General features: G+C 41.3%; 1 protein-coding gene, 1 long non-coding RNA gene and 1 other non-coding gene across 7 annotated transcripts, besides 1 other annotated feature; 1 reads left to right on the top strand and 2 right to left on the bottom strand.

The window, feature by feature from the left end:
* VSIG4 (V-set and immunoglobulin domain containing 4) lies at positions 2,670-21,012 on the top strand. Of its 5 annotated transcripts, none has more exons than NM_001257403.2 (8): positions 2,670-2,806; positions 8,920-9,276; positions 10,001-10,282; positions 14,638-14,700; positions 15,224-15,301; positions 17,621-17,725; positions 19,888-19,909; positions 20,584-21,012. In NM_001257403.2, the coding sequence occupies exons 1-8, from the start codon at positions 2,752-2,754 to the stop codon at positions 20,663-20,665; spliced, it is 1,044 nt and encodes a 347-aa protein (NP_001244332.1). In that variant the 5' UTR covers positions 2,670-2,751; the 3' UTR covers positions 20,666-21,012. The 5 variants fall into 5 exon arrangements, with proteins under 5 accessions (NP_001244332.1, NP_009199.1, NP_001093901.1 ...); NM_007268.3 differs by having other exon boundaries at positions 20,250-21,012; NM_001100431.2 differs by lacking the exon at positions 10,001-10,282 and having other exon boundaries at positions 20,250-21,012.
* Positions 9,026-10,225: an enhancer, noted in NCBI's record as "CDK7 strongly-dependent group 2 enhancer chrX:65252367-65253566 (GRCh37/hg19 assembly coordinates)". NCBI's record gives its function as "activates an origin of replication core promoter dependent on BRD2, BRD4, P300/CBP, MED14 and CDK7 cofactors, with strong dependence on CDK7, by STARR-seq in HCT116 cells {active_cell/tissue: HCT116}" and the evidence as "EXISTENCE:reporter gene assay evidence [ECO:0000049][PMID:35650434]".
* MIR223HG (MIR223 host gene) lies at positions 22,324-27,289 on the bottom strand. Its single transcript, NR_170299.1, has 3 exons — positions 27,199-27,289; positions 25,561-25,685; positions 22,324-23,926 (listed from the first exon to the last, which is right to left on the bottom strand). It is a non-coding gene; the product is annotated as an MIR223 host gene (long non-coding RNA).
* Positions 23,771-23,880, bottom strand: MIR223 (microRNA 223). Its single transcript, NR_029637.1, has one exon. It is a non-coding gene; the product is annotated as a microRNA 223 (primary transcript).
* Positions 27,290-27,639: the final 350 nt, after the last annotated feature.

Raw genomic sequence — 27,639 nt, 5'->3', positions numbered from 1 at the left:
ATCTTTTCTGGCTCATGCCCTGGTGCATGGAGTATCAAAGGTACAATTTTTTGAAACACCAACTTGGATGGTAAATTACACTTCTGTCATTTATCAGTTGTGTGACCATGGGCAGGTTCCACGGTACCTCCAGACCTCAGTTCTCTCAATAAGGAAAGGTTATTCATAATGTCTTCCTTGTGAGGTAAGGCCTAGGGATAATGTGCACAGCACAGAGCAGGAGTTCTACAAATGGTAGTTTTAGTATCACTTTACCTGGGAAGCCTTCCCACGCTACTATTTCCTTCACTAAATACTGCCCAAACCACAAGTTTTACAGCTCAGTTAATAATTCACCTTGTATTAGTGGTTCATATGTGTTTGTCTTTCCTTTACACTAAAATCTCACTTATACAGGGACCATACCTAACATTTCTTTTCTCTCCCTCACAACATCCAGAAAAGACCTGGAACTATTGTAGAAGTGGTCATTAAAGGTGTGAATGAAGCAGAATAGTGTGTTACTTAACAGTATCATTTCTGGAGGCATATAGCTAGGAGTTTGAATCTTGTCTAGGCACCCTCTATAAAAGTAAGTGATTTCACCATTCTGGGTTTTAGACACATTTGTAAAATGGGGATATATTGAATTCATTCATTCAACAAATATGTGGGCTCTACAATGAAAAAGAAAAGTAGTGTAAGGGAGTATAGAGTGGTAGGGAGAGATACAAGAGTATGTGCAATAATACCCACCTGAGGGGTTGTAAGAACCAAGGGAAATAACCCATGCAAGGTGCTTAATTCAGTGACTGGAAGAGTAAAAGATTTTAAATAGCAACTATCATTATATAGTTGTTATTGTATGTATAGTATAGTTTGATTTTTATAAATCTGAAAAGATACAAGCATCAAGTATAATTATGTTCATGTTACAATTAGGGAAGCTGAGGTTCAGAGAGATTTGACTTGTTCAAGATCTCAGAATGAAGTAGACACAGAGCCAGGCTTATCTCCAGGTTTCTGACTTCTCATCCAATTCTTTTACTAATCAAGAGGGCTACTGAGCCTACTGCAAGACTGGAAGTCTTTCCCAGCCTTGAAGTAATGTTGTGCATACTCCCCAGGACATTTATTTATCTTCAGATCCAGGAGGTCCTAATAAAATGCAAGAGGTAGCACAAAACACACAATCACCTGGCCAGGCAGAAATTTACATCTGTCCAGTGGGCTTTTTAGCGGGGAAGGGGAGGGGTGTGTGTGTGTGTATGTGTGTGCGTGTGTGTGTGTGTGTGTGTGTGTGTGTCTGTGCGGTGGTGGTGGTGTAGTGGTGATAGGGTGTTGGTTGAAAAATATCAAAGGAGGGTTCTGTGAAGTTCAGGGTTTCCTGAGTGAGGACCCGGTGGGAAAAAATGGCTGAAATTTCCAGTGAGATGGAATGAGTGCAGTACTCAAAAAACAAGGAACAACCAGCCAAGGGGGATTGGGCCCTAGAGGCAGAGGTGATTGATAGAATTCCATGTAATAATGTGTCCTGAAATGCTGGAATGTCTCCTTAGCCCGTGCACAGCTCCAAATCATCTGCATGCAGCCACCCCTTGGCAAGTATGTTTCTTTATATTCCCACTCCCCATCTCTGCACAAACTCCTCCCTCCCCTGACCAAGTCCTTTCCTATCCCTCCAATCAAAGAGTAAACTAAGCTTAGCTGTTACTTACAGTGCAGTATGAATTTTTGGGATGTATTTGTGCTTTTGAAAGTGCTTATTGTTTCAAAGCTTAGTAGACAAAGCGCAGTGCCAAACCTAGTTAGACTGCTGATGAAATTACAGTCACTCTGGGGCCTGTGAAGAGGAGCAATTTCTGGAGCAGTTGAGCTTTGCTAGGAGGCATAATATTACTCTCTTGTAGGTCAAGGGCCTGTACCAATTGGAAGTCAATGAAAAATTCAACCTAATACAGCATACCACTAATGGGCTGCTGCACTGGAGGCTAGGCTTAAATTTCCCTTAAAAGAAGTAAAAAATAAATTCCTTATGAAAAAGCATGGAGAACATTAATGAAAATGAATTCTCCCTTACCATCAGAGAGGTGGAGCCATTGTAGAAAGTGATTCAAAGAGCTTCCCCAATATGAGATATGAGGCATATTCACCCATAACAGCCTTATCCATTGGCTTGTCAATTATTCAAGCTTTGATGTGTAGAAAGCCCTTTAATACACTAAACTCTTGTACTCTTAAGCCCAAAAGCACCCCGGGCCCAACACCCTGTCCAGTTGCATAGGCTGCACAGGCAAGGGTTAACAGTACAACTAATGAAAATTGGGTAGGTCAGCAAAGTTGATCTCTTCTCCCTGGGCTCACCACAAAGGAAAACACCGCCATACTGGAGTGGGAAGACTCATCCCAAAGGTCGCCCCCACAACCTCTGAATCTTGTGGAGGAGACTCAAAATAAATACAGCCTAGGAGATCAAAGACCAGAAAGCCCCATTGGCTCCAAGGAAAGTCAAGTCAATACCCTAGCAGGGGGAAGAATTGCTTCACTCATCCTGGAACCTCCAACCCCAAGGAGGTGGGGGAAGGGGGGCACCCCACATGACCTGTACTGAAATAGGGAAGGAAGGGGAATGTGTGATGGGACTAGGAGTTTGAGTGAGAGATATAGGGAAGGAAGGGAAGTAAGCAGTCACAGACGCTGGCGGCCACCAGAAGTTTGAGCCTCTTTGGTAGCAGGAGGCTGGAAGAAAGGACAGAAGTAGCTCTGGCTGTGATGGGGATCTTACTGGGCCTGCTACTCCTGGGGCACCTAACAGTGGACACTTATGGTAAGGCAGAAAGGGGGGCCTGGCTGCCATTGCTGGCTTAGGCAAAAGGCTAGAGGGTTGGTGTTTAATGTCTACTATGGAAAGCCTATTCCTACTGGGCAGGTGAGTCTTCTCAGCCAAACTCTGCAGGCTCTCTCAGCCTTGAGCAAAACGGATGGATGTAGTTGAAGGCTGCTGAAGAAGCCAGAAGGCAAGTTTGGGCAGAAATTGAAAAAGGATTTTTCTCTTGGAAAACATCTGCATTATTTTCTAGGGCTTGTATCTCAGGGGCATCAAGAAGGTTCCCAATGACATCCGAATCTTTCCTCCATCTGCTGTCTCTCATCTAAAATTCTACAATTGGACTTAACCACTCTGCTTCCAAGCTTTGGTCTCTGTTAAAATATACAGCCCCCGAAGAAGGAGTGTTTTCTAAGAGTTGGATAGGACTATAGAAGTAACCTATACCACCCTTCATTGTCATGAATAAGTGCTCAGAAACATCCAGTAGTGATTGAGATTTCACTGTTCACTACCTCCCCAGACCATCTAGTCCATCCAGGAGCAGCTCCAACTGTTAGAAAGTTCTTATTTGTGTTGAACTAAATCCAGTTCCCTCTGACTTCCATCCAAAAACCCCAGCTTTGCTTCTTGGGGCTACACAGAACATAGATGCTTCCTTGCCCTGTGATAGCCCTTCAAAGCCCTGAGGACAAGTACTATGTCTCCTTGACTCTTCTCTCCTCCAAGCTGAACAGCCCCAGCTTTTTCAACTGGTCTTCATAGGACTTGGTTTCTTACCCATTCCTGGGATAACTCACTTCCCTATAGACATGGCTCAATTTGTCTGGGCTATTTATGGGCTGGATACAAATCCCAAAGGAGGATGGACTATTCCATAGTGGCATTATTTCCTTGGAGCTTGGGAAGCTCTATCCTCATCTACACTCCTGAGAAGTGAGATGGATTTTCAGGAAACTCAACCTGGGTAACAGCTAAGTGAGATCCAATATAGGGTAAAGGGGGATTTTGCTGCTTCCCTATCATCCCTAGAGAAAAAGGCTGGATAGGTGTTAGCTTGGTGTCACTTGTTAGGTCAGAAAGAATCCAGCTTTCCGTAGCTGACTCTGATTAGGTTACCCTATCCTGGGGCTCTGTGACCCATCACACTCTGGAACCTCAGAGTTAGAAAAGACTCTGAATTAAGTCAACCAAGAGAAAAAATAATTTGCCCCCAAGCCAAAGAGCATTAGTGGCAGAGTTAATGCTCCTGAAAAAACATTTTTCTTTCTATAACTACCACATTTCCATTCTCTAGCAGGTTTTATAATGTATCTCTCTACCTTCTCCAAGTCTGTTGGTTTGAGCTAGGGCTTAAGCCTGGGGCTTGAGGGAGCATTTTAGAAATGTTAAATTTAAATCCTTTGTTTGTGTGTGTGTATGTGTGTGTGCATTCATGTGTGTGTGTGTGTGTGTGTGTGTGAGAGAGAGAGAGAGCACTCATGTGTCTTGTTCCTTCCCCAGCCTATGAGCTTTTCCAGACCTGGAAGCAGGCCTTCCATTTGTACACAGGATCTTATACTATAGACCTCAGGCTCAGGTTATGCTGAGCTGCAAATAATACCTTCCCTCTCCCTGGACCTCATTGTTCCTAGCCCATCTGTACAGTGAGGAGGTTGACTTGACTGGTCTTAAAGGGGTTTCTCAGCTGGACAACTCTGTGGGACTGCAGCTTCACTGCTAAAAACCCTGTAGCGGCCAGAGTAAGCTGCTAGCCTCTTCCTGTGGGGCTAAGAGATATGTCAAGATAATCAAAATTTAAAAAATTTCTAATATTCACATTTTATATACATTTTAAACATTTCAGAAACATTTTATAAACATCTATTATATAAGTTAATCCTCCATCCAGGAGGCATTCCAGGAAAGGGAGAGAAGCCAGTCATGTGGGGGAATGGGATAGAGATATGGAAAATGTCAACCTCTTTGTGATGATGGGAGGAAGGGGATTCAGAAAGAGACCTAGAATGGGTCTTATAAAGGAGCACACACCTAGTAAATTCAACCTTTCTTTTCTTCAGTGCCATTACACAGGCATCAGACATTTGCTTTTATAAGGCTGGGTCTCAGGACCACATTAAGCTCAATACTGTATATATACTTATCAGCAATAAGTATATATACTTATCAGCAATAAGTATATATACGTATCAGTAATAAGTTTATATACTTAGTAATAAGTATATATACTTATCAGTAATAAGTATAATATAATATAATGTTATATATTATATATAAGTAATTATCAGTAATAATTATATAATTATTATATATTATATATAAGTAATTATCAGTAAAGTGGAAGTAATAATAAAGGAAGTAATATAATATAATAAGTATATAAATATATAATATAATATAATATATTATGAATATATTATATTATATTATTATTATATAATATATATTATATATTGTATTATATAATTATTATATATATTATATTATTATATAATTATATTATATATTATATTATTATATGATATATATTATATATTAATATTATTACATAATATATATTATATATTATATTATATTATTATATAATATATATTATATATTATATTATATTATTATATAATATATATTATATATTATATTATTATATAATATATATTATATATTATATTATATTATTATATAATATATATTATATATTATATTATATTATTATATAATATATATTATATATTATATTATATTATTATATATTATATATTATATATTATATTATATTATTATATAATATATATTATATATTATATTATATTATTATATAATATTTTATATTATATTATATTATTATATAATATATATTATATGATATATTATATTATTATATAATATATATTATATGATATATTATATTACATTATATATTATATTATATGATATATTATATGATATATTATATTATATGATATATTATATTATATATTATATAATATAATATAATATATCATATAATATATCATATAATATAATATATCATATAATATATTATATAATAAAATATATAATATAATATATAATATAATATATTATTATATATATAATATATTATATAACATATTATATATATAATAATATATAATATTATATAATATATTATATTATATATAATATAATATAATATATATTATATTATATTATATATTATTAATATATTATAATTATATAATATATATATTATATAATTATAATATATTAATAATATATCGTATTATATATATTATATTATATTATATATTATATTATTAAAATATTATCTATATTATAAATATATTATATTATATTTTTATTATATTATAATATTACTTCCTTTATTATTACTTCCACTTTACTGATAGTGACTCAAAGTTCAGATAGGTTTAGTAATTTACCCAAGGTCACACAGAGAGATATGTGGTAAGGCAGACCTTGCGCTTAGATCAGTGTTATTCCTACTACATCATACAGTCCTTCATTACCCTCCTGCTCTCATTAGGGGCTCCTACTTGATTCTAGGGGAACTACAAGGAAAGGTAGAAGGTACAAGTCAGTGGTATTGTGGTTTACTTCACTTTGGAGATCAGAAAACATGAGGAATAGTACAATGTCATTTTTCTTGTGATGTCCTGTACCTATAATCCAGTCTCTTTATGCAACTAATGAAGCAGGAGGAGGAAGAGGAGATAAGAATAAGAAAAAGAAGAAGGAAGAAAAAAGGAACGGAAGCATAATGGAACAATGAGTGGAAGAAATAAAGGAGGAAGAAGGGAGAGGAAAAAAAAAGTAAAAGGGGAAAAAACATGCCATTTTGGGAAGTCTAGTTACCAACTCTGTCCTATTCATTCTGGGATGGAGGAGTTAAGCCTGACCTACTTCCAGAAGTGATTTTCAAAACTGAGAAATTGAGACTATCTAGCAATTTTCTTGATAGGCCAGACTGAGCTTTGTGAGAATTTCCAGCAAATTCCCAGGGAGGAAAAACACAACCCAGGCCTTTCAGCTCCCCTAAGGTCAGAAGGAAGACCTGCATATGCATAGACAAAGGCATTTTCAACTCACAGCAGAATGCTGCTTTGTTGCCCAAGAGGGGAATGTGAGAATGCTTTTCAGAGAAGAGGAGGGACATTGGGAAAGTCCAGAGGAAGATTAATGGGAAATAGCCTATTAAACCAAGAGGCTCAGATAGTTTTCATGGGGTTTAAGCATGGTATGTTTGTGCTTGCATGTGGCCAAAAATATGTATGGGCATGTGAGTCCATGATAATGAAAAGCTGTATCTGCAATCACATGGAGGTGTGAACTATCTATGGCACAGTGAAACCCACTACCTGGTGAAAATTCACCACCAGCTGGAACCTATAATTACATAACTTCTATTTCTATTATAGCCTATTAACACTTGACCACCTAAGATTAGAAGGGACCTTAAAGAGCAAGGCTAAGACCCAAACAAAGCCTAGAACTTCCCCCAGACAGTTTAATCCATCCATAGACAGCTCTGATTAATCACAAAGTTCGTTCTAAGGCAAACCATCTGTTCTGCGATGTGAAAAGCAGACAAGAATAACATAAAAAGAAATAGAATTAGGAAAATAGAGCAAACCAAAATCTGCCCCTCTTGTATTCCCATTCGTAGGTCTGAGTTCTGCTCTCTGCCAAATTCGAAGCATTCCAGAGAGTATGTAGTGGATCTAGCAACATGGACTTATGTTATTTATTCTTTTCTACTCAAGGGCTTTTTCTTGACTAAAATATGCTATTGATGTTCTAAGGGTCCCTGGTGAGGGCACAGGCTAGAGGCTTGATTTTATATCTCTATTAACAGAAGTCCTGATGCTGGACAGTATATTCTGGGAGTTAGAACGCATACACTCAACCCATCCAAAAGATGTCATCTTCCATCCGCTTGACTGAATACTGGGATTTCTAGGCTCAATAAAAGACTTTTATTCAGGAATACCTCATATCTTTGAAACCACCTCTCTTAGGAGAGACATGAATATATTGCCTAAATATACCCACCCCACACTCCTGGCCCCAGCTAAATAAAACAAAAAATCTTCTAAATAAGAGCTTATGGATGGAAAATTCTGATGGGAGGCAATGGCTGTTTCAACATCCCCACCTCCTTCCCCACCCCCACCCCCATCCCCAAGGGTTTCCTTCTCAAACACGCCAAGGAGCAATCTCCCATTGCTTCTATCACCACCCCTACTACAGCCAGCTTCAGGATTTCACTCAGAACCTTTTCCTCTCTAGACCAAAAATGGATGCAATCTTTTCCCCCTCAAGATGAAATTTTCCTATGTATCCTTGCTAAGAACTAAGAGAAACCAAAAGGAAAATAAACAAAAGAAATCAGAAAAAAAGTCAGGTTTACAAAGTGCAGGTTTTGAATTTAACAATAGCTAATGATTTTGTTAAACAGGAATGTGTATCCAGACTTCTTCCTCACACTTGGTTCCACCCTCAGTATTTCCTTTTGCCTGTCTTCCAGAGAACATCTTAGGGTTGGGACCCCACTCACTGAGGATTTCTAAGGGAACAAGAGAAGATAACAGGGCAGAGGGCCCTTTCTTGCTGATCTCAAAAGCCTCCACCTTTCTCCAGGTGCAAATTTACACAAAATGAAATAGTCCAGACCCAAATGCTTAGCATTTTTGCTTCCACATCTCTTTTGGAAAATGTGAAAAGAAAATTTTTTCATGGATTTGCAGAATGACAGATTTGATAGAATATCTAGAGCACCTACCACCCAAACTCTCCACATTATAGATGAAGTAAATGAATCTTCCACGGTAAGAAGGTGACTTACCTAGGATCACCTTCATAGCAAGACAGTAACATAAAAAGGACTTGAAACTCACAAGATCTAAACAATGTTAAAGGCTTTCATTCTGAAGACTGGTTCTGATTGATGAGAAGGCTGGCAAAGAGCAAAAGGGCACAGGTACACAAAAGTGTGATAGAAAGAAAGTTGAGTGGCATTTCTCAGAAACCTTTTGAGGTTTGTCACTGTCACCTTAGTTGCCAAGTAGGTATGCCATCTACGTTTGCTTCTTTCCTCTGTTCCGCCTCTTCAGGCCGTCCCATCCTGGAAGTGCCAGAGAGTGTAACAGGACCTTGGAAAGGGGATGTGAATCTTCCCTGCACCTATGACCCCCTGCAAGGCTACACCCAAGTCTTGGTGAAGTGGCTGGTACAACGTGGCTCAGACCCTGTCACCATCTTTCTACGTGACTCTTCTGGAGACCATATCCAGCAGGCAAAGTACCAGGGCCGCCTGCATGTGAGCCACAAGGTTCCAGGAGATGTATCCCTCCAATTGAGCACCCTGGAGATGGATGACCGGAGCCACTACACGTGTGAAGTCACCTGGCAGACTCCTGATGGCAACCAAGTCGTGAGAGATAAGATTACTGAGCTCCGTGTCCAGAAACGTGAGTCACTATGGGGGTAGGAAAGCACTGATAATCAATGAATCAATAGTGGATGTAATTCTAGAAAAGCCTGAAAAATCCAGAGGCCTTCGTTTATACAGAGGCTCTCCACAGGTATATGTGCTTATCAGAGGAAGTGGACAGGCAGAGGATTCTTAGGGTCAGCATTCCCATAGTTAAATTTAGGAAGTGCTGGGAAGGGTTCCTGACCTGCAAATCTCTATCCCTTCGAGTGTCCCAGAAATGCCAGTATCCATGGACTAGTTACCCTCCTTGGGCTCTGGGCTTTACAACTCAAAAATGAGTACATTTAATTTGTAGATAGATGCTGATAGAGAAGCTCTGGGGAAAGGGAGGCAGAGGTTAGCCAGGATAAGTTTGCTTGCTGGACAATTTTACAAAAGTCTGGCCCTGATAATCCACAACTGCAGGTAATCAAAAGCTCTACTTGAGCCCCAGAACAAACTACATTAATTTTAAAGGTCAGTTGATTTTTACTTCCAAGTATTCCAAAACCCCGGGTAATACCAAAAAGTACCTACCTTCAAAGGAAGCCATTTTATTTGTATTGCCCTTTCCTTCTTATTTCCTCCAAAGTCAGAAGCCCCCTTTAGTTCCAGTTGCAGATATATGCATGCCCTTACGCCCAACAAGAATGATTCAGCCTTTTGGTCCCATATCCTTATGACTGCCCAGAGTTTCCTGTCTTGTCTTTTCTTTGCAGTCTCTGTCTCCAAGCCCACAGTGACAACTGGCAGCGGTTATGGCTTCACGGTGCCCCAGGGAATGAGGATTAGCCTTCAATGCCAGGCTCGGGGTTCTCCTCCCATCAGTTATATTTGGTATAAGCAACAGACTAATAACCAGGAACCCATCAAAGTAGCAACCCTAAGTACCTTACTCTTCAAGCCTGCGGTGATAGCCGACTCAGGCTCCTATTTCTGCACTGCCAAGGGCCAGGTTGGCTCTGAGCAGCACAGCGACATTGTGAAGTTTGTGGTCAAAGGTGAGCGGCCCTCTTTCCTGGTGAGCATCTTAACACACAAGCTTGAAACAAAGATACCTCAAAAGGTGCCCTTATGCAAAAGAAGAATTGGGAGAGGAGGATCCCAAGCAGGCAATGGTTGTACAATCACAAAGAAAAAAAACTTGGACTGGGGACAACAGGGATAGAGACATTGCCTATCATGCCATAGGTTAAGTAGATAAAGACGGTAAAGGAAAGAGAGATTTACTAGCACATTGTATTTGCCAGATACAAAGTACAATAACTTGACACACATTTTCTCATTGAATCCCCACAACTGTCCCATGAGATAGTTATCATTACTCTTACTTTACAGAAGAGGAAACAGAGTCAGAAAGGGGAATCTACTTGCCCATGGTCTCACAGCAAGGAAGTATAAATCTGGATTTGTACTCAGATTTCATGCTCTTCCTACTATGTCTGATTGTTTCTCATGGTTGAATCTATATCAGATCCTGGGCACCCTTTGAAAGCTGTTGTTTTTTGTTTGTGTGTTCTGTTTGTTTGGTTATTGTTTTGCTTGTTTGATTAGGCTTGATCTAATATATCTACATGCTTTCTTTTAACTTCCCTCCCCCACTTCATTGTAAACCCAAATACAAGTTCTGGTTGAAGTATCCTTTAAGATGGGCTCTTGTTAATCAAGATCTGACTATTTCTTACAGCACTGTCCTGGGAGCACTACAAACTATGCATATAAAGACTGTAAGCTGAGGCTTAAATGAAGAGTCCAGCAGTGATATGTCCAGATGAGTTTTCTTAGCTTTCAAGAGATCTCCTTGGAAAGAAAGACACCCCAACAAGGTTACCATTGCCCAAAACATGTTGGAAACTAACTGATTTTAGGGAATTGCCCTCAGAACCATCTGAAAATTATTGTCTTCTGAGGATAGTTCTGTGTAAGGAGAGGGCGTAAACCTAGCCCAAATGGCTTATTACCATTTGGGCTAGGAGACTGATGTTGGTTTGAGACTCTTGTGTTTGCCTGGAGGAATTTGTTTCCCAAAGTTAAGCTGTAGTGAGGATGTGTGTGCTGTAGATCATGGTTTGTTAGTTTTGGGAGGAACAAGAGTGGTCCGCCCTGAAAGTTATATGAACAGTGTCCCAGTTCTCTAAGAGCTGACAGTCTGGTCAAGCAGAGAGGGCAGGGCGTGACCAGAAAGCCCAAGAATGTATACTTCATAAAGAGACTAATTGAACATTCTTGCCTTTCTGTGAGTTACTTCTCAGACCACCTAGGCAAGAACTTGCTCACAGTAAACCCTCCTGTTTATTCCTTCTCACAGTCAATGCTTATTACAGTGCTGTTAAGCAGTGCTCGCCATTGCCCCCTACTGACAGATAGGAAAACTGAGGCTCAGGGAAGTTATTCTCAGCCTTCCACTCTTCCCTGCTCTGTGAGCCAACGTAATCTTTCCTGGCTACCTCTACCTGCCTCCCTGTCCACCCAACCTTGTCCCCTGAGTCTGACCCCCTATTTCACCTCTGCCCTACGGAACTCTCAGCCCTTTCACCCTTCCACCTCACTCTGCACTGTTCTTTAGTTCTAGAATGACTCTGGAGGCCCTGCTTTTGCTCATGTTCTTGGACTGCTGAGCTTTGCTGACGAACAAAACAAAACACAGATATGAATTGACTCCACTTGAATTTTATGCTCTGCGATATGTACTGCCTGACCCCATGCCGTGTGTCTATTTGCTTATCTTTGTCTCATTCCTCATAGCAGCTTTTCAGCACATTTCTACCTTATTTCAGGCCCCCAGCCTTGCTCCTAAAAGATAAGGTAACTTCCTTCCTCTGTAAGAAGGTCCAGACCCTCTTCATATGTGAATTTTATCAACTACCCTCCTCTCTGCCTTGATATTTCCCTATCCATTTCCTCTTGGCTCAGAGTAAGGTATGCTTTGCTCCTCTCCACAACAAGCCCCTCCTCCTGAACTCTTAACATCAGCTACTCCAATGCCCTGCAATACCCTTTATCCTCTACCTAAGCCAAATAGATATGCATGTATAATATATGTATATATGTCAGTATGCAAGCCTAATACATACATATATATATGTTATTTTTCAAAAATCTTTCTCTCCATCTGCCACCTCATCTCTCCTATGTTCACTACCAACCTTCTCACGAAGGTAGCTTCCACCAGCTGAACCTCTCAATTCATTCACCACAACATAACTTTGTAATTTGGGGTCATCATTAACCTCCATATCACCAAATCCCAAGACCTCTCCATTCATACTTTTCCTCCTCAACATCTGTGTAGCAGTGGATCCTGTTGGCCATTTCTTCCACCTCAATATTCTTTTAATCACTGCTATTGATGACACCAACTTATCTTGGTTCTTCTAAGACCTTCCTGAATGATCCTTCTGAGACACCTTTGTTGGCTCTTTTTTCATTCACTCCTTAATTGTAAATGTTCTCAAAGACTCAATTCTTATTCATCTCTGCATGTATTTCTATATTATCAGGAGATTTTATTTACTTCTGTGGCTTCAAATATCACCTGTAGTCTGATGACTCTCCAACCATAATATTATCTGTATTTATTTTTTCCTGACTGCTAGATCCCAGTGTCTAGTTACCTTCTGGACAGCTTCATTTCTAATTTCAGCGTGTTCAAAACTGATCGTACCTTTTACTCACCAAACCTGTTCCTCAAACCTGTTAGAAAACATAGCAGTACCTTTGACTCCTCCTTCTCTTTTACCTCGCATCGTCAAATAATCATCAATATTACCAAGTGCTGTGAATTCACCTACTGAATCAGATACCTTATTAGGCTCTTTCTTTCTCTTCCTATACCCTCATGGTCTCATATTCTTTTTTAAAAAACAATTTCAATCATCTTCTAAATGTTCTCCCCATGTTCATACATTCTTACGAAGTCATCAACTTATTCAATATTTATTGAGTATATATTTTATGTCACTAGATTATAAAATTCAAGAGTGCAGAATTCTACCTGTCTACTTCATTGCTGTTTTTCAGAGCCCAGCAAAGTATCTGGCACAAAGAAGACACTAGACACTAGATGAATACTGTATTTGTTAATGAATGGGGAAAATATGCTATTGCCTTACCTTTGAAAATCCTACCACACTGTTGTCAGAATTATTTCCAAAAAAAATAGACTGAACAATTTTTGCTTCCTTTCTCAAAAGGAAGTAAACCTTTCTCAAAAGGTGTAACCTTCTGTTACACCCCATGGATCTTTCCAACTAAAGAACAAAGCCCAAACCCTTTTAGTCTGTTTTCAGCCTACCTATCCAGACTTATCTACTAATATGTTTCGCCACATCTAAAACGGAGCATGCTGTTTCCTCTGCTAGCAAGAGGGAGAAGCTTATGGTTTTCTCATGTCTTTTCTGAGCAGGTACATGGCCCTGTGCTTGTGTGTGGCCTCCTAGTTTCCCAGAACTGTGTCAGAACTCTTCAAAATCCCTATGGAAATCTTATTCCTCAACCATTTTTAAGGCTATTTTGGTTAGTTTTTTTTGTTTTCTCGCCTATTATCCATTGCCTCAGGCAGCTGTGTGACAAATGCTACCCCATCCCTGGGGAGAGGCTCTTAGCACTGGGTGACCAATAAAACAAGTCTTTTGAGTCAGGTCTTTCAGGGAACCACCAGACAGGCCAAATAATGGCAATTATTCAAAAATGAAGTTTGTTGGGCTCACTCCAGCACCTGGAATGGGGTTGTATGTTCAAGATTACCTCTGAGGTAGAAGGGGTAAGGGGACTAGGAGAAGTTAAAACAGCACAAAGCTTGCTGTTCTTACCAAAACTGGGATATTTTTCTTCCATAAATCCTGTCTAAGGTGCTGCAAACCTTTGGCTATTTTGCAAAATTCTAAAAAAAAAAAAAAAAAAAAAAAAAAGTTGATTACGTCAAATTTTGCATTATTTCACTGATGTTGTTAAAGGGTAAATTTCTGGAGGTTATTATGTCACCATTTTCACTGATGTCACCCATTGCCACTTTCTTTATGATACTTCCCAAGTTTCTCTCAAGAGAATTAATTACTAGGTCTCAGTTAGAAGTTAGTAAAAATAAAATATATTTTCCCATCCAAGTTGACTGACTCTCTGAACTCTAGCTACAGGTTCCTTCGAGATCTATTAATCCTGGGTTAAAAACTCTGTCCTTGATTGATGTATGAAAGATGAACAAGCAACACAGGACTTACCAGCATCATGACAGAAGTGTTGAGGCAGGTCCAAGTATGGACCTGAATGGCCTTTACTTACTTCCTATTTCCCTAGGGCATTAAACTATTCACCAAAGGGTACCAGGTCCCTTCAATCGGTTCCCTTTTCCTTGCAGACTCCTCAAAGCTACTCAAGACCAAGACTGAGGCACCTACAACCATGACATACCCCTTGAAAGGTGAGTTTTGCTAGAGTCTGAGGAAGTAGTAGAGGTTCAAAATGGTGTCATCGTAGCCAAGAAAGGAATCACAATGCCATGGAATGGCTAATAAACAGTCACTTGGTTCCTCAGAGAGAACATAGCAGTAAAGGAATGGAAACAAAAGAAAGGTAACAATGATGAATATATACTCTTTTTTTGTGAAAACTTCTGAGGCAAAAGGAAAGAGAGGGTTAGAATTACTCCCATTGGAAATACAAAAAACAAGAACACTAAATTCTATTCTGCTCCTAGTTTGACTTGCTGTGTGACTTTGGGTACATTACCTCCCCTCGATGGGAATTCTTCTCACTGCCCACACCTAACAGTAAGAAATGAAGATGCCTTATCTCATGGTACTAGTGGTTGATAACATGGTCAGGTACCCTGGAAAGTACAGCACAAATGGCCAGGGAAGGACTCCAACCTTTGCAACCATCTCCTATCTCTCAACTTTTTGAAAGAAGAGAGACATCTCTGACCCTATTCTCTATATTCATAGCAACATCTACAGTGAAGCAGTCCTGGGACTGGACCACTGACATGGATGGCTACCTTGGAGAGACCAGTGCTGGGCCAGGTAGGAATATTGTCAGGATTTCTATCTTTTCTTCTTGACTCTAAGCTTTGTGACCAAAACTTTCCCTTATGCACACTGTTCTACAGCATTGAAATCTGCAAATCATTACCTGCTATGTGCCAAGCAATGGTCAAGGGCACTGAGGATGGGTAAAGTGGGTAGGATGTAGAGAGAGAGATACAGATCCAGAGATGAGCAAAGTCAGAGTGAGGTTAAGGGGAGTGATAAATGTGCCCTTTATTTAGTTCTCTGTTGTCATAGTAATATGCTTTCCAAACATTCTGAGCAAGAATATGGATAGGGACATTATGACATCATGACCTCAACCAGGTAAGGATAATGGCTGAGTGTCATTGCTTGAGCTCTTAACCAGGGCTCTTCAAGCCGCTTGAAGCTGATTTCTGATTCCTCCAAAGCCTTGAAAATTCCCAAGTCAGGGTCTCAGAGATTCAAATCCCAAATAAATCTTTTGTGTTTCACCTGCATCTGATAGTCAGTTGGTATGCCTTCACATGACTACATTGACTGTTGAAATAATAGAACACTCTCACACCAATTGATAATTAGCTGCTCCCCTTAACCCCTGAGCCCTCCATTATTACCTGGGGCTGCCTTGTCCCATTCCTCAGAACTCTCTAGACCACCCCCATGGTCATGCAACAAAAGGTATACCAAGGAATCTCTAAGACTCCAAGTCTACAGTAGGCATCTGTTGTGACTGGTTGGAATTAAATAGTTTGATAACTATCACTCCTGGTACTCATTCTCTGCCTGTGTATAATTGAGAGAGTGGACTTCCAAATGCTCTTTGTAACTCTCCATTCCTGATTGCAGAGTTTTTTGGCTATCCCTTGGCAGCACTCAAACCTGTTTTATGTTCCACATTTGCATTGCCATCTTTGGCTTCAAGATTTCCATAGCTCCGTTCCTCTCCGAGAAGAACATCTACTGGGAGAAGAGAAGTTAGAAATTGCCTCATAGGGAGTTGGTTTGGAAAAATGAGAAAATAACCTTGGGCAAAGTTATTAGATGTTGGGTCTGCGCCCTATTTTCTCTACCAAGTTTTTTAGTACTTGACTCTCTTCAAAAGAGAATATTTCTTCGATTTGTACCAGCTTATAACTTGAGCTCTCTCAGTCCCAACAAGACACTCTGAGGACCACAAATACTGGATTCCTAGGACACGATATCTTAGAGTCTCATGAAAACAAGCCAGTTGCAGCAACAAATCCTAAGTACACTGAGGTTCCTTTCCTCACGCCTCTCTATCCCCCCTGACCTAGCATCTTAGATTCAGAATATTATAGCTAAAAGTGCTTTAGACATCATCCAATCTTTTCATTGAACTTATGGGGTAACTAAGGCCTAGTGACAGTCAAAGTTTTGTCTAAGGTCACTGTATTCATTTTTCCATGGCTGCTGTAAAAACTTACCCCAAACCTAGTATCTTAAAACAGCATAAATATATTATCTTCCACTTCTGGAAATAAGTCTGACACAATTATCACTGAGCTAAAATCAAAATGTCAGTCAGCAAGGCTATGTTCCCTTTGGAGGGTTTGGAGAAGAATTAATTTCCTTGTCTTTCTTTTCTGGCTTCTAGAAGCTACCCACGTTCTTTGGCTCATGGCCCCCTTCCTCCATTTTCAAAACTAACAATGTAGCATTCTCAAATCTCTGTTCCTTTTTACTATGTAAACTAACATACTGACAGGTTCCAGGAATTTGGATGTGAATATCTTTAGAGGACCATTATTCTGCCTACCATAGTCATACAGAAAGTAAATAACAGATCTAGGACTGGAAGCCAAGTCCAGTTGATTCTTTCAGCTTTTAGGCATAATGGGAATATGTGTCTCAAGTGGCTCAGTGGAAATATGTTTTGAGAAAGAAGGAAGCTGGGGACTTGACCAGAGCGTGTGATGGGAAGAATCTTTGTGGCTAGAAGTAACTGACCAGAATCTTAATAAGGTATGTAGCATTTTTGGTGAAGCTGGAAAGTCAGGATATTATTTTCTTTTTTCTAAGGGAAGGTGAAAACCTTCTGTCTTGGCCCTATAGAAAGCATAGACAACTAGCTCAAATGCCCAGGCCAATCAGCCCACCAGTGAGTCTGGAAGAACCTGTTTACACATGGCATCTCTTTCTCAAGTCTTTCTCATGGGACTGGAGTTTTTTCTCTCTGGCTAGCTAAGAAGGTTAGGAGAATATGGAAAATGAAAAAGAAAAAGGCCTGGCTTAGTCTAGGCTGTTTCTTAGAGTTTTTGTTTCTGGCCTTATTTTCAATCAAATACCACTTGATCTTGTTTTACCCTCTAGGAAAGAGCCTGCCTGTCTTTGCCATCATCCTCATCATCTCCTTGTGCTGTATGGTGGTTTTTACCATGGCCTATATCATGCTCTGTCGGAAGACATCCCAACAAGGTTAGTGATGAATATGAGAAGGTGGCTTTGGCTCATTTGTTCTTTCTGTCAGTATACTTGAGCCTAAATTCTGTATCAGGCATTGTGTTAGGCACTTCAAGAAGCTCCCAGCCTAGTTTGGGAGTTAAGGTTGGGGTGCAGGGAGGCAGATGTTCGAGCAAACAATGGCATAAGACTTACAGAACTAAATGCACTAGGCTTTGGTACTCAGTGAAGTACAGCCATCTTTCTAACGAGTCATCTTGTAATGATGCAAGAGAAGGAGAAGTCACAATCCCTGGCCTCAAGTTGCTCACAATTTATTTAGGAGATTCAAGGTAGAAACATGGAATTTATCAATGACAATACATAGCAATAGAGGCTATGAGCTCAAAAACTAGAGAAGACAATTAATGCTAAAGGGATCCAGAGGAGAAGAGAGTAATTTAAGGCTTGGGTAATTAGCAAGGGATTTCAGAAGGAAGAATATCTTAGACCACATTTTGGAGGATGAAAACAAGTTGTAAGGAGACAGTATTTCAGGAAGAGAGAACTACATCAGCATAGTTGTTAGGGCCTAAAAGACAACTGAGAGTGGGGTCATCAATAAAGAAAATTTCTGTAGATGGGCAACAGGGAAGTACAGTGGGAAATGAAAGCTTATTCCTGATTATAGAAGGCCTTAAATGCCAGGTTAAATAATTTGGACTTTCTTCACTAGGCCTTGCAAGGGCACTAAATTTACCAAATTTTTCAAGCATGGAAGTGGCATAATGACAGCACAGTTGTCAGAGCCATTTAAAAACTATGAACCAACCGAGGAGGAAAAAAATTGGGATGCTTGTTTCTAAAAGAAAAAAATACTAGCTGTCTCTCAATGCCCAGTGCACTAGTCATGTTGCCTAGCATCAATTTGTCTTATTCTCTGTAGTATCTCTTACTCCCAAATAGCCTGGTTACTACCATGGATCTGATGGATTTCCATCACCAGAAGGGAGCCTTGAGTATCTCCTTCTCCCAGGTTTCAATTATAAGCTCTGGCTTTTGCCAGTTAGCATGTTTATCACCATGAGGCTGAACTTGATAGCACATGACTACAAACCCCAGGGGCACTAAAATGAAAGCATTTGCATATAGCCTTGATGAGGCTGGGCATAAGCGGTAACCACATTAAATTGTTTCTCTCTCAAAAACCTTCCATGGCTTCTTATGGCCCAGGGGATAAAGGTCAAAATGTAGCATTCTATTCAAGGCTCTCTGTGATGTGGGTCTAGCCAATTTTCTCAACCCACCACTTCCTTATACCTAGTCTCATTTCCAAAAATTCCTCTTTCCTATCTCTGTATAAGGGAGACAGCCTCAGAGCATCAATTTAATTTAACATAATTACTGAGCACCTATTGTGTGACAGGTGCTGAGCATATTAAGATGAAAAAGACACGACCCTTGCGGTACAGGTGCTCATAGGCCAATGGGCGAGTAAGACACAGAAATGCAGGGCTCTACCATAAGGCAGAAGTCCTGTGGCTTCCCTTGTTTACTTTGTTGTCATTTAATGCTTGCATTTCCAGTTGCATCCCTGAAAAATTATAAGCACCTAGAGGGCAGTACAAAGAAATATCTGTCTTTGCACCAACCTAAGCCTTTGAGCCTGTACGGAATATAGGACACTCCTCCTCCACAGACACTAGGGGGCAATGGTAACCAATACCATGGTTTTTCCTGGGTATATAGTGGGGGTGAGTGCATTTGGGAATGTCTTGGGTCACGGCCATCAGCATCAGGCTAATCCAGTCCCTTCTTCCTGGTATGTGGCCTGACAGTCAAGTTTCCCACAAGGACTCTCTGGGGATCCTTGGGGGAGATTCCTGGGTAAAGAGCAAGTCCAGTTCTAGTGCCCTCCCCCAACCCATACCGAGAAACTGCTCCAGCCCAATATCCTGAGTCCAAGATGACAAAAAGGATAGTGACCAAATGTGCTTCCCCTTCTTTTACCTGATAAATTTGCATCTCTGTGTTTCAATTCACCTCCCCAATACCTCCCAGTTGTTGGAAAGCTAAGACATATTAAAATCCCCTCCTCTGTACCCTTCCCTCATCTTTTGACTGGTACCCAGGATCCATGATTGACCTTTGTCCACTTGCCATGAAAACTTCTGACATGATTCCTCCTTTTTTTCTAGAGCATGTCTACGAAGCAGCCAGGTAAGAAAGTCTCTCCTCTTCCATTTTTGACCCCGTCCCTGCCCTCAATTTTGATTACTGGCAGGAAATGTGGAGGAAGGGGGGTGTGGCACAGACCCAATCCTAAGGCCGGAGGCCTTCAGGGTCAGGACATAGCTGCCTTCCCTCTCTCAGGCACCTTCTGAGGTTGTTTTGGCCCTCTGAACACAAAGGATAATTTAGATCCATCTGCCTTCTGCTTCCAGAATCCCTGGGTGGTAGGATCCTGATAATTAATTGGCAAGAATTGAGGCAGAAGGGTGGGAAACCAGGACCACAGCCCCAAGTCCCTTCTTATGGGTGGTGGGCTCTTGGGCCATAGGGCACATGCCAGAGAGGCCAACGACTCTGGAGAAACCATGAGGGTGGCCATCTTCGCAAGTGGCTGCTCCAGTGATGAGCCAACTTCCCAGAATCTGGGCAACAACTACTCTGATGAGCCCTGCATAGGACAGGAGTACCAGATCATCGCCCAGATCAATGGCAACTACGCCCGCCTGCTGGACACAGTTCCTCTGGATTATGAGTTTCTGGCCACTGAGGGCAAAAGTGTCTGTTAAAAATGCCCCATTAGGCCAGGATCTGCTGACATAATTGCCTAGTCAGTCCTTGCCTTCTGCATGGCCTTCTTCCCTGCTACCTCTCTTCCTGGATAGCCCAAAGTGTCCGCCTACCAACACTGGAGCCGCTGGGAGTCACTGGCTTTGCCCTGGAATTTGCCAGATGCATCTCAAGTAAGCCAGCTGCTGGATTTGGCTCTGGGCCCTTCTAGTATCTCTGCCGGGGGCTTCTGGTACTCCTCTCTAAATACCAGAGGGAAGATGCCCATAGCACTAGGACTTGGTCATCATGCCTACAGACACTATTCAACTTTGGCATCTTGCCACCAGAAGACCCGAGGGAGGCTCAGCTCTGCCAGCTCAGAGGACCAGCTATATCCAGGATCATTTCTCTTTCTTCAGGGCCAGACAGCTTTTAATTGAAATTGTTATTTCACAGGCCAGGGTTCAGTTCTGCTCCTCCACTATAAGTCTAATGTTCTGACTCTCTCCTGGTGCTCAATAAATATCTAATCATAACAGCAACTTCAGTTGTGTTGGTCTTCTCTCACAGTATGGTAGGACCTACTAAAAGTAATTAAAGTGAGACTAGTTAAGATGGCTGGGGCCCGAGAATATGGATGTCACTTTTGCTTTTTTGGTCTTTCCCCTTCCCACACATGCCACTCCTACTTCACTCCACTGGTAAGCCCAGCTGGAGAACAGTGAATACTTGATTAAACAGTACTCCCCTGGCTTCCATTACCCAACCTGTCATCCTGCCAGGTCCACCTGGATGATTCTTCCCACATCAACTGGAAGCCTAAGAAAGAAAAAGTCTTTCTGTCTCAGGGGACTATGAATGCAGAGATGAAGGGATTTCCTTCTTTCCCAAGTATGGATGCACCACTCCCAAGGATTTCCACTTCTTTGAATCTTAAAATCCTGGGGGTAGTTGCATTTTTCATATGTTATCTTCTTTAGCTCCTGGCCCCTTCTTACAATGTGAGGTGGGGATAAGAGCAAGAAAGCCTTTCTCTTCAAGGAGGAATAGGGCTAGGAGTGTGTGTGTGTGTGTGTGTGTGTGTGTGCGCACGACAGAGAGAGAGAGAGAGAGTTTGTATGTGTACATAAGTTCCTACACCTTTAAATCAGGCTCCGCTGTGAGGACCTGTTCTGACCCAGGTTGACACAGTTTTATTTTCTCGATGTAATTAATGTCAAATCAACTTCTGCACTCTTCAAGGAAGCTGCCATGTTGCTATTTCTGGTTCCCATGCAGCCCCTAGGTCAGCTCATGTTTCACAAGGAGCTGCTCCCCTTTTGCAATGATTACAGAAGTCAAAATAGTACACGAAAGTAACAAAAAGGAGTCCTCCACTTCACCGCCACCCAACATGCCAAATCCAGGGTAAAAACCTCAACATTTTCCTCATTCCAGACGCTAGCTTCTCCTAGTTGGCGAAAGGAACAACTCTTTCTTCCCCATCGTGCTTACAAGCCTCTGAAATAGGGCCTCCACCCAGTGGAAACCCCAACTTCCTTCATGAAACAACTCTGCGTCCAGACCCTACAGCCTTTGAAAATACCCATTATCTTTCCCTACTACCCATAGAAAAAGTGAGTTTTAGGTGTTGGGAAGAGAATCCTGGTTGCATTTTCACTGGTAAAAGGAGCCACACATCCAGGGACGCTGCTCCATAAGAGCTAAGGACTCCCAGGGATATCTCAAAGTCATTAATCTTAAAGAGCCTAGAGATCACTGATTCTAATACTTCCGTATTGGAGATGAGAAAATGAAGCTCAGAGAGGAACAAAAACACAGTTAGTGGTAGAAAGGAGACCAAAAGTCAGGCCTGTGAACTCCTCAGTGCATATATTTATTGCAGCATCTGGATCTTCTTTGCCTCAAAACTTAGAATATTTTTAAATACAGGACAAGCTAGTAAAGAATTCCTATGTAATAAAGATAGTCCACAGCTGCAGAGGCTAAACAAAAATGAGATGATAACATGTGACCTTTCTTAGGCAGATGGCTGGTTGGGGAAAGTAGATGAATGAAAAGAGGAAAAGATCTCCAGAAGAGCGGGAAGGTATAAAGTTTCTCTAGGACAGTTTCCCAAATCGTGCTTCATTGGACATTGACACAGGAGAAGGCTGTGGGGGAAAAGAAAATTCATGATCAGATAGGTATGGCAAATGCCTCATTCTATGGTTTCCTCTTTGAGATTCTCAATGCAACATTAGACTATTAAAGGCTCTGAAAAATCCTACAAGAAAACACCTGTATAACCTTGTGTGACCAAGTAATACCAAAATTTATTTGCCCTCTGAGTCTGCTATTTTGCCCTCTTCCTCCAGCCCTTGACACTGTTTCTCAGGAAGAAAACATCCTTCATGCTGGCTACTACCTCATATGCTCTATAACATTGTGGTGTTCACAGTTTGAATTTTTCAAAATCCAGGGTAGAATTTGGCCCCCAAACCTAAAGCTAGTGGACAAGAGGAAAGTCAATCAATCAGTAAATATTTATTATTTTCTGTAACTAAAGTACTGGGCTGTGGTAGGGGAGACAACAATCAAAGACATAGCCTTGTCTTCCAGAAGCTCACAATCTAGTTGGGAATTCAAGAATACCCCTTAGAAAAGTTCATTGACAATTTACGAGGTGCTATTAGACAGTAGGAGAGAAAGGCATACATACCAGGGCCCAGGGAAGAAGAGCTTTGTGAATGAAGAAGGAAAAAGTGTAAGTTGACTTTCAAAAGTCTCTGGAAACACTGGACTTTAGCTGGTCCAGGAAATATAGGGAAGAATTGGATAGGCAGGAATAAATGGAGAAAGTGTTCCTACAGGAAAAGACATGTGGAAAAGGGGAGAGGTAGGCAAGATCAAGGAGTGTTTAGAAGGCAAGACTGAGTATCAAGAAAGTGAATTTCTAAGCCCTGCTTACTCAGATAAGCCATTAGGCTTGTGTGAGAATGCTGATGTCCTAGATAGGAGACTCTGGGAGGGGAATATGAAGGAAGAAAATAATAATGAATCAAAGAGCACTTCCATTCCTGGACACTTTATACATTTTCAAGACTATTGCGCCCCCATCAGCACTCTCATGGTGTGTGTAGACACAGCCCAGGGCTGTATTTCCCTGAGATGCCACACTTTTCCCCTGGTGTCCTCAGATATAATGCCTCAGTTCCTGCAAAGTCACATAAAATAACTTGTGAGAACTTGGTGCTTGGTGAGCATCCTTGTATCCAGCTGGCAGTCCATTCGTCATATCCCATCTGCCCTGGCCTAGAGCTGGTAAGCATGTGCCGCACTTGGGGTATTTGACAAACTGACACTCTACCACATGGAGTGTCCAACTCAGCTTGTCAAATACACGGAGCGTGGCACTGCAGGAGGCCAGGCCAAGAGCTTCTGTGGGGAAGTGAGATCTTCCTGGGAGATGTGACCCTAGAGGGAAAGAGAGAGAAAGGAATGATGAAGTCACACCCTTAGCCCCGGGGATCTTGCTCAAAGGACCAACCAAAGCACCAGAATAGGGAAGTGAGCAAAATAGGCATAGGGTTCCTAACCAGAAGAGAGATCCTGAAGATAAGCAGGTAAAGCCCGAGTGACACCCAGTGCTCAGCTGGAAGCTCATCAGGCCTGAGTCCTGTAGCTATGGCATTTCTAGGGGTCCCAAGCTTCAGTGGGTTCCTCTATGCAGCAGAGAGGGGAAAATTTGGTCATCATCCTGCCTCCCTGACTTGAGGAAAGTACCAGACCCTAGAGTCAGCATCCTTGCTCCCTCTTCTCAATTCTCCCAAGCTGTGTTTTCAGTGTTGTGGTTATGCACATAGGCTTTGAGGTTAAACATGAGCTTAAATCCTAGTTCTTCCATTAGCTAGTTAGGCAACCTTGGATACATCATTTCACCTCTCTGAGCTCAAGTTTTCTACACCCACAAAATGTATGTAAGTATAATACCTACCTCATAAGGTTATTGTGAGAATGACAGGAGATAATGCATGTAAAGCCTTTGGTTCAGTATTCAATACATAACAAATGCTCAAAAAGTAGTGGTTGTGTGACCAAAATGAAAGAAAGAGCTATTGGCAATTGATTTAGCAGGATCTGGACAGGTGTGACATTGATTTCTTGTGGTCTCAGCCTTGCCTAACATGATCCTCTTGTCCCATAGGGACTCAAGAATGGCAGCTATTAAAGTGCCCTTAAAGATCATCTAGTCTCACTCACTTAGGTTATAAATGAGATAACAAAGGCTCCTGTTGGGGAGGAGACTTGTAAAGTTTATACAATAAATTTTTTACAGTTCAGCAGTATGCCTTATACAGCTTTCCTCATTGGTTATTTTGCCTCCCTTCTCTGTATATCCCTCTGGGAAAGGGAAGACACATCAACAAAGAGGGCAAAAACAGGCAATAGCTTTGTAATGCAACATTTGGGATCACTGAACCCACAAGCCACCAGGGCAATAAGGAAGCTGCCAGGAGCAGGGTCAGGTCTGAAACTTCTGGGAGAATTCCCTTGGCAACAATCAGATCCTGTTGCTAAAAATCCCAGGTTGCTGGTGTCAAATTACTGCCCTTACCAGCTGTGGCAGTTGATCTGTGAGCAGGTAGCTGGTCTACATTAAATATTGTCATGAAAAGTGGCAAACATCACAAGGTTACCAGAAATGGTAAACTGCCCCCATGAGGCCGGAAAGCCCTGTCCCAGCCCAGGTAAGACAGAGGGATTCAGCCTTGTCTTTCAGCAAGAAAACAATCAGTGTCTTTTCTTGCTCTATTCTTTTAATTGAATGTTAAGAAGGTAACATACTCCTTCAATTTAAGTTCTGGCAGTCATCTCAAAACTAAAGCTCTTTCACTCCCTCACTTCCTTTTCTACCTACCCAATTCAGCCTAATCCACCCAGCAGCAAAAGCAGCAGTCATGGTCACCAAATATGGCATGACAGAATCGACAAACTTGTGTTCTAATGCTGTCTTGGCCATCAACTAGCCAATCATGGCTTGGGCAAGTCTTTCTTTGGGTTTCAGTTGTCTTCTCTGGAAATGAGAACAAGGAGACTTACCTACTTACCTGGCAAAGTTGTTGGAAAGTGTTGCTAAGCTTTCCAGAGCCTCCCACATAGGAGCTCAAAAGGACCTTGTCTCAGCCCCTGGACCTATGGTTGGAGGCCAGCCAAGCAAGCTGATTAACAGAGTCTGAGTTGGGGATGGCAGGAGAAAAAGAAATGGATTGTTACCTTTTTTGTATCATTACACTCATTGGCTGTCAGCTCCAGTAAGAAGACCTAGATAAGCTGGAGGTGTTCACAGCCTTTTGAATGCACTTTCTGACTTTATTCACCTCCAGAAAGGCTGGAAAGGAGGCATGAAAGGGGCTAAAAATTATTAGTACTTTGAAATTTGTGGAGCCTTATAGACAACATTGCTTCAGTATTAATGGAAGGAGTTAGTGGTTGAGCTGAAACTAGACTGGTATGCCTCTCCAATGGAGTGTATGTAAGAAAATCACATTCAGTTGAGAAATGTTCACCAGACCCATAGAAAGAAGACATAAATATCTATATGGGATGATATTAAGGGAATTTGAAAGCTCTTCTCTTGGTCTGTTATATTACTTAGAATAACATCATTTTTCCCCATATGAAATGCAAAATCCTCTACTGAAGAGCGTCATCAAGCCACTATTGTTGATGCAAAGGATGGGTCAGTTTTTATGGAGGGAATTGGAGGGAATAGACCAGAAGAATTAGGGGTAAGTAGGTGTCTAGGAATCTCTGAACACTCAGAGTGAGCCAAGTACCTGAAAGAAAAATAGAAGAAAAGAAGAAGTCCTCAGGACCATGCCTAAAAATCCCAGACTGCCTCTAGTATGAGCAGGACCTGTCCTGGGTCAGTTACAGGACAGGTCCTGCTGCTTGATGTCTCAGTCCTCCTAGGATAGAGCAAAAAGAGGACTGACCTGGGAGCCCAGACCCAGCTGTGCTACAGATTCTCTGTATGACTTTGGGCAAGTCCCTTTCTTCCTCTTTCTGGACCTCAGTTTCTTCCATATGTACCTAGTCTCTAAGAGTCTTTCAATTTTGAATCTCTAGGAGTCAAAGATTGGACTAGAAAAGAGGCTTTCATCTTTGAGTCATGCCTCTCAGAGAGTGCTATATGGATTACCACCAGCACTCTCCTCTTGAATGTGTTCAGCCCCACCCACAGTTACATATGCAAAGATTACTCTCATCTTCTTTCTTGACAGAGGGCTGACAATCATGAAAATTAGGAATCTAATAACCATGGGTCTCTAGACAGCATCTATCTAATCATTCTTTTCCTCTTTTTACTTTTTTATTTTGCAAAAGGGGTGAAAAAACTGTGTCCTAGATTGGAGAAAGGACTTACCCAAAGATACACATTGGGTAAATGGTAAAACCAGGACTGCTACTCAGGTTTCCTGACTCCTGGGTCCAAAGGCCATTCCACTTCCATGTGACTATCTCCTAAACATCCTGATTGGATAGAAAATATCCTATCCCCTTTTCCCCTCCATTAGAACCTCTAGGATAAAAGGCCAATGGAAGCCTTCTTCCTCCCACCTTTGACCTTAATCCCTGAGGAGGGTCTGAAGAGAATGGGATGGGCAGATCCAAGCCACCCTTGGCTGCCATGGACTCTGCCCCAGCTTGAGAATCCAAGAAGAGAGGGCAAATGGATACCATACCTGTCAGTGGAGTGGTGCCTTGGTCATGGAGGGGACTCTGATTCCCCAGTGCTGAGCCAACCTGCAGGGGCCAGATGGAATTGGGCTTTCTGCCGTGAGCAAGAAGCTTCTGTGTTTTGAAGGGCCCTTGGTGTCTTCAACAGGAAACAGAAATGAGGAAGATAAGACTGAGGTTAGCCAACGGAAATCTGGATGCAAAATGACAAAACAATGCTGTTGTGAAAGGGTCTGCTACTGCAGCAATAGTAGCAGGCCACTGCCCTGCCTCCACCAACTCCCAGCTGACCTTCAACAGACACTAACTTTCCAAGCTGCAGAGAGAGAGAGAGTAGAAAGCACCTGGCTGCCCTAGGCTCTGCCTGTGGGTCAAGGAGGTTTTCCCAGAATAATTGAGGGAAACCTGGAATACCAGAACTGAGACATTATCTAATGAAAAAACCC

Source organism: Homo sapiens, chromosome X, assembly GCF_000001405.40.
Source record: "Homo sapiens chromosome X, GRCh38.p14 Primary Assembly".
Lineage (NCBI taxonomy): Eukaryota > Metazoa > Chordata > Mammalia > Primates > Hominidae > Homo > Homo sapiens.
Note: the sequence above shows the minus strand (reverse complement) of the source record. Positions and strands in the feature narration are given on the sequence as shown.

What these genes read in the sequence shown, in the direction of transcription:
- VSIG4 (NM_007268.3), top strand. Translation starts at nt 2,752, where the DNA reads ATGGGGATCTTACTGGGCCTGCTACTCCTGGGGCACCTAACAGTGGAC. An exon ending in CCTAACAGTGGACACTTATG is followed by an intron (nt 2,807 to 8,919) that starts GTAAGGCAGAAA and finishes CCGCCTCTTCAG; the next exon opens with GCCGTCCCATCCTGGAAGTG. An exon ending in CATGACATACCCCTTGAAAG is followed by an intron (nt 14,701 to 15,223) that starts GTGAGTTTTGCT and finishes CTATATTCATAG; the next exon opens with CAACATCTACAGTGAAGCAG.